The sequence below is a fragment of the Homo sapiens genome, chromosome X (assembly GCF_000001405.40).
Source record: "Homo sapiens chromosome X, GRCh38.p14 Primary Assembly".
Taxonomy (NCBI): domain Eukaryota; kingdom Metazoa; phylum Chordata; class Mammalia; order Primates; family Hominidae; genus Homo; species Homo sapiens.
Window position 1 is genome coordinate 26,367,724 of NC_000023.11, and position 7,213 is coordinate 26,374,936.

The 7,213-nt window shown below is 38.2% G+C and overlaps 1 annotated feature.

Annotated features, from left to right (window-relative positions):
* Positions 5,738 to 6,937: an enhancer, noted in NCBI's record as "MED14-independent group 3 enhancer chrX:26391578-26392777 (GRCh37/hg19 assembly coordinates)". NCBI's record gives its function as "activates an origin of replication core promoter dependent on BRD2, BRD4, P300/CBP and CDK7 cofactors, and independent of MED14, by STARR-seq in HCT116 cells {active_cell/tissue: HCT116}" and the evidence as "EXISTENCE:reporter gene assay evidence [ECO:0000049][PMID:35650434]".

The window sequence follows — 7,213 nt, forward strand, 5'->3', positions numbered from 1 at the left end:
ATAGTCTCCCATTCCATAGGTTGCCTTTTTATTTTGTTGTTTCCTTTGCTGTGCAGAATCTGTTTAGTTTGATGTAATCTCACTTGTTTATTCTTGCTTTTGTTGCCTGTGTTTTGGGGGTCATATGCAAAGTGTCATTGCCAAGACTAGGAGTTGCCAATGTGAAGGAGTTTTTTCCCTGTGTTTTTTTCCAGGACTTTTATGGTTATAGGTCTTATGTTTAAATCTTTATAATCCATTTTGAGTCGATTTGGGGGTTATAGTATAAGGCAAGTGTCCAATTTCATTCTTTTGCATGTGTATATCCAGTTTTGCCAATACCATTTATTGAAGAGACTATCCTTTCCCATTGTGTATTCTTGGTGCCTTTTGTCAAAAATTAATTGATTGTGTAAGTATGGGTTTATTTCTGGGCTCTCTAATCTGTTACATTGTGTCTGTTTTTATGTCAGTATCATGCTGTTTTCATTATCATAGCTTTGTAATTAATATAATTTGAAATCAGAAAGTGTGGTGCATCCAGTTATGTTATTCTTGCTCAATATTGCTTTGGCTGTTGGAGGTCTTCTGCAGTGCCATATGAATTTTAGTATTGTATTTTCTGTTTCTTTTCACACACCTTGACCAAACTGGCAAAATGCTATTTTCAGAAGAAATTTTGGAATTCTCTGACTCTGTGATTCTACTTATTTGATTCTCTTTTCTAAGGGCATTTTTCTTTTATCATTCTCCAAATTATCTAGTTTCATTGTTATATTTGTTTGTTTGTTTGTTTGTTTGAGACAGAGTCTCGCTCTGTCACCCAGGCTGGAGTACAGTGGCGTGATCTTGGCTCACTGCAACCTCCGCATCCTGGATTCAAGTGATTCTCATGCCTTGTCTCCTGAGTAGCTGGAACTACAGGTGCATGCCACCACAACTGGCTAATGTTTGTATTTTTAGTAGAGATGGGGGTTTCACCATATTGGCCAAGCTAAGCCATTTATATTTATTTAGTACAGATTTAATGACAAGGGCTTGGAGCAAACACAACTTGTGGGTAATTAACATTGTTGACCCCCCAAGTAGAGAGCAGTCCTGCATGGGAATGATCAAAGTTTGGTTTCTGGAGACATAAGTAAACCAGTTTATCTAGATAAGTTCCTTTCATTACCTTGTTATCTACCCTTTGTCCTCAGTCTCCAGATAAGATAATCAGCTGCCTTCAGCTTCATTCTCTCCCGAAGCTTTTGCAAACCCTCTCAGCCTTCCAAGAAGGTTTGCGTCTTTCCCTATAATTTTTCCCACCACCCTGACCGATCTCCTACAAGGCTGGTCTCAAACTCCTGACCTCAGGTGATCTGCCCACCTCAGCCTCCCAAGGTGCTGGAATTAAAGGTGTGAGCCACCATTCCCAGCCATAGTTTTTAAAGTCTAGACAAATATTGCTATACTTTCTGATTTTATATCATGAAAAACGGTCTTTATCTTTCTCTCCTCTGGAAATAATAAAATTTCATCTGCACTTCCTTGAGCATATAGATGATTTTCCATTTTGCATGCATTTATTTCTGTGCACATCTGTGATAGAATCTAAAGAGATGTTCATCTGACTAAACTGTGAGACTACATTTCTCAGATTCCTTTGAAGTTAGGTTTGTGACAAATGACTGGGTTCTAGTTGGTAAAATGAGGACAGGCTTGGTTCATAAGGTAATTTTCATTGATCTTTCTCTTTTTTCATTCATTGTACTACTGACTACAGAAAATTCAATGAAGAATCTAAGGAGTCCTTGTAAGATAGTGAAGCCATAAGATGCAAGGACTGAGATGCCTGCATTACTATACAGAAGGCTTCTTGCAAGCAACCTATTTCAAATGTGAAGTAAATTAGAAAATTTGACTATATTATTATAGATTTTTAGATTATTGTTATATCAGCTAGCACTAATGACTTTGATTAATGTAACATATACATTTTATATATATATAGGATGACTTTAACTCTGGTTATTATATTGAAGACTCTTATAGCAATGTCTCTATCTTTGACCTTTTCCCTGAGTATTAGATTTGCATTTCTTACTCTCTATTGTACATCCCTCCATGGGTATTACAAGGCCTCTCAAACCTAGCATTTACCAAATAGAAACTGAGGTTATCAACTTTACTAGTTTCCTATGGCTACTATAACAAACTCCCACAAACTGGGTGGCTTACAACAACAGAAATTTATTGTCTCACAGTTCTGGAGGCTAGAAATCTAAAATAAAGGTGTTGGCAAGCCCATTCTCCCTCTGAAATCTGTAGGGGAGTATAATTCTTTTCTTATTCCTAGGTTTGGGTGGTAATTATCAATCCTTGGCATTCATTGGCTTGCAGCTGCATCACTCTAATCTCTGCATTTGCTGTCACATGACAATGTGCCTATGTGTCTCTGTCTTCACATGTTGTTTTTTTCTTCTTATAAGGACAACAGTCATAGTAGATTAAGGTTCAGTCTAATGAACTCATTTAAATTTGATTACATCTGCAAAGTCCCTATTTCCAATAAGGTCATATTCACAGGTACTGAGGGTTAGGACCTAAACACAGCTTTTCGAAGATCACAATTCAACTTGTAACATCAACACACAATCCAGCTTAATAGAATCACTATCATCTTGTCACTCAGTACTGGAGCTTGAAAGTCATTCTATAGTTAGAGTTTCTTCTTGTATTTTGGTTCATCAAGTCAACATAATGCAAGATTTTTCTCTTCAACTTCCTTTCCTATATATTCAATGATGGGTACAGATTAAATCATAGTATTTCTTTTCTGGAGACAAATTCTAGTCTCTTTCTCTTTGCATTTTTTAGACATCATTTTAAAACCAAATTAGTCATATAACAATTATGTTCAAAAAATTTTGTTGGCTCCAATTACAACTCTTCCTCCTACCAATAGCCCCTGACACTTGCACAGTGTCCTTTCACCCTGTTGTACTTTAGGAGTTTTTGTTTGTTTGTTTGTTTTGTTTTTCCTCATTTGGAGTGCTTGTGGTGGAGATGACTTATGGGTATCTCAAGTGAAAAGTATATAGTAAATAGGTAGTTAAAGGGCTGAAATACTAGGTTACCCAAGGGGGTTATAGATTCAAAGTAATAATAGCGCTCATACAGATCTTCATTATATGCAATGTACTCTGGTATGCATCATCTCTTTTGAGATTCCCAGCCATCCTATGAGATAGGTTAATAGTATCTCAAATTTTTGATTAAGAAACTGATATTGAGAGGTCTGACTAGTTCAAGGAAGCTCAGTTAGTTATTAGCATAGATAGATTTTATATCCAAATTATTTTGCTATACATTCCACCCCTTTTGACTGCAGCAAGCTTGCTTAAGAGGATAAAGAAAATTAATTTGACAATCACTTGAGTTTAAGTGCTATCTTAGGAAAATAAGGCATTGAACAAGATTGGCCAAGAGGAGTTTGACTTTATGAAGATAATTAGTAGGGAGTAATGTTAGGCAAAGCAAGGGACAGAAATGATTCAAGTGGAGAAATGTGATAAACAATAGTATATCACAGAGGTACCATATAAGAATTTTTCTTCATTAGGTGTTGTCCCAATAAGAGCTGGGCAAAAACATAATTAACAAATGAAACAGTAAAATTTGAAATAAGTTGACCATTATGAATTAACATCAGTGTCTAAATTATGGCTTGGAAAAAACTACACGAGTGAAACAAAAACAATGTCTAGAGATGTATAAATACAATGGGTGATTATAAGTATGATTACAGTGTGCAGAAAAGAATTATTAATGTCATAGTGTCGATACGAAAATAAATGACATCTTAATGAACAACTAGATCAAACTACAGTTAAGATTTCATTAGTTTGAATCCTGGATCTAACACTGAGTGATATTGGCTAAATTAGTTTGCCTTTCTTATTTTTTGTCTGTCTGTTTGTTTTGTTTAATTTTTATAAGCAACCTCTAAATTACAAAAGTTTTGGATTTATACAATGATGTTTAGATTTTATAGCTATATACATACAATTAAAGCAAACATGTATTATTTAAAATCTTTATAGGGAAAAGATTTTCATTTGAGTCAAAACTCTTGTTAGCACTCTGCTTTCATTAAATAAGTTGTATAATGTAATGCTCAATGATATGAAATTCCTTATGAACATATATAATAAATGAGATGGTAGGGCAGAAGTTGGGAATGAAATTAGATTGAAAGTTATTAGATTTCTGTCTGGATAGATTTTGCAGCATAAAGTGCTGGGGTTTCTCCCTAATTGCAGTAGATTGAGGAATAAATTGCAAGAATCAATAACTATTTTTAAGAACCTACTATTTAATAGAAAACAATATATGGTGGCACAGGCTCAAAAATAAATTTCTAGGCCTGGGGATATTTGAGCATATTGTGGTTATGGGAGAGTGTTTGTTTTGTAAGAACAATTAAAGGCACTAGAGAAGGAGAATTACTGATGGACCAAGGCTTATACGAAGCCATAAGAAATATGGCCAGATATTTGTTGGACCGAACTGACACTAAGAATGGAAGTTCCCTTTTAGAAGACTGGGAATGATCTCATATCTGCATTTGTCACTGCTCTCAAGTATCGTTCTATTCCTTAAGTCTTGGGTATTCCTTACTTTTTCTTGAAATATTTCTCTTTATAAAAGTTATACCACTGGTCTAACATCTATGAAACAGAATCACTTTCAGCAACTCGTATGACGAGCCTCCAAAATGCTCTACTGTGACAACCTAATTTCAGCAATACAAAAATGCTATGATAGAGCTGCTATGATACAGCTGTCAGCCTCTTAAATTATTGAATCATGCTGAGCTCTTGATCCAAAGCAAAAATGGAGACCTTGATATAAGAGAGTGGTTAAGAGTGTAAGCTCTGGAGTCAAATACACATGGGTATGGTTTCTACCGCTGCTACTTAATGGATGTAGTTCTTGAAAGTATTATTTAAACTAAACATCAGTATTATAATGTATATACTTGAAGCTGATTTTATATCAATGTTACCAGAAAAGGTCCCAATCCAGACCCCAAAAGAGGGTTCTTGGACCTCACTCAATAAAGAATTCAAGGCAAATACATAAAGTAAAAGAAACTTTATTAAGAAAGTAAAGGAATAAAGAACGGCTACCCCACAGGCAGAACAGCCCTGAGTGATGCTGGTTGGCTATTTTTATGGTTATTTCTTGATTATATGCTAAACAAGGGGTGGATTATTCATGTGTTTTCCATGAAAGGGGTGGGCGATTCCCAGAACTGAGGGTTCCTCCCCCTTTTTGACCATATAGGGTAACTTCCTGACATTGCCATGGCATTTGTAAACCATTATGGCACTGGTGGGAGTGTCTTTCAGCATGCTAATGCGTTATAATTGGCATACAATGAGCAATGAGGATGATCAAAGGTTACTTTCATTGCCTTCTTGGTTTTGGCGGGTTTTGGCCATCTTCTTTACCACAACCTGTTTTTTCAGCAAGGTCTTTGTGATCTGTATCTTGTGCCAACCTTCCATCTCATCTTGTGACTTAGAATGCCTAACCTCCAGGGAATGTAGCCCAGTAGGTCTCAGCCTTATTTTACCCAGCCCCTATTCAAGATGGAGTTGCTCTGGTTTGAACACATCTGACATATTCACCCCTCCCTTTTACAAGGGAACCCTTAATCCTAAGGGTTGTAGAGGGACAAAGGTCCATCTTCTGTAACTTCTTCAGGCTGAATAGGGGTGATGATATTCCTGCCTAACTATTAGGGTCTCTTGTATTTGTGGTAGAGAGGAGCTCACTCAGAAGGCATCAGTAGGCTATGGGTCATTCACAACTCTGAGTTCCGACAAAAGGACCTTGTGGTTACAAGATCAAGCTTCCAAGGACATAGAATACAACAAGAGGGAAACTTCTTCCAGTTGTTTTTTTGTGGGGCTGGGGACCTGCAACAAAGTTTGTGACTGACCAGTTTTCTGGGCCAGCAAAACAGTGGGTTTATGGGGTCCTAAGCCCATGTTCTATTGTTGCAGAACTTTCTCCTTAGTTCAGGTAAACCTGGGCTCTTGTCACGCGGCCAAGAAAGATTAGGCTCGCAGGAGCATAAAAAAGTGAGGAGCAGAATTTATCGGGTGAAAAGGAAAAAAAAGAAAAAACTCAGCAAAGTGAGATGGAGTACTGCTAACAGGCCCTTCACTTCACTGACTGATTTCTAGGTCACCACATGAGCTGAAGAGAGCAGGCTCCTCCCCTGTGTAAGGTGCAAATTCCCCATGGCTCCACCCATTTCCCCCAGTGCGCAAGTCAGGCTCCATTCTGCTGTGGGCATGCCCAGACAAGCCCTGGGCAGGTTTCCTCGTCTACACAAAAGCATCTGACGTAAATACTTATGGGGTGGGTCAGAGATTCTCCGGAGACCCCTTTTTATCTGCCTAGGTATTTGGCTGTCTCACTATCCTAAGGCATTCATCTTCATGACAGAGTAATACAGAAAGACAAATTTATAGCACAAAGTATACCGGATTCACTAGAGTAGCCACTCCACTTAACACCCAATATTGAACTGGTAAGGCTCAAACTTGCCCTGAGATGGGGCCCCATCATGTTTAATCCAACCTCCAACCAGGAGATTCAACATGTTGTCTGTGGGCAAGATGGTCGCCCTGAGTAACAGAAAAGATAGAAAAGAGAAAGAAGATATAAGGAGAAAAGCGTTGCCTGTGGTGGGGTGGGAAGGGTGAAGAGCTCAGAGATGCCAGAGAAAGACCCACCCATTGCACCCACACTGAATTGAAAGTTCAGGCAGCCTCTTGTCAGTTGCAAAGGGATTTTTTCCAGCAGTCCCATCAGCTCTCAAGTGTCCCCCTTTGGGGAGAAAGAAGTTCTCATGTCCCATAATCCTGTACATGCCTAATCCTGTCACCCACAGTCATCCGCAAAGAGTATAAGACAGATTAATCCAAAGAGAATAGTGGTTAATGTCCCATAATGCCAAATCCGTTCTTAGCTGAGAGGGACTTTACTGAGAGGGGCCTCTAACTCTCTAAATCTTAGAAGGGACTCTGACCTTCCTAAATTGGGCCTTAATCCCACGTTCGGTCAAGTTCCTTGCCTTTTATGAAGAGGGGCCTTTAACCCACTCTGTCTTAGGGGAGACTCTAACTCCCTTAAGTTGGGCCTCTAACCCAATCCCATCCTTTACCCCGGTACC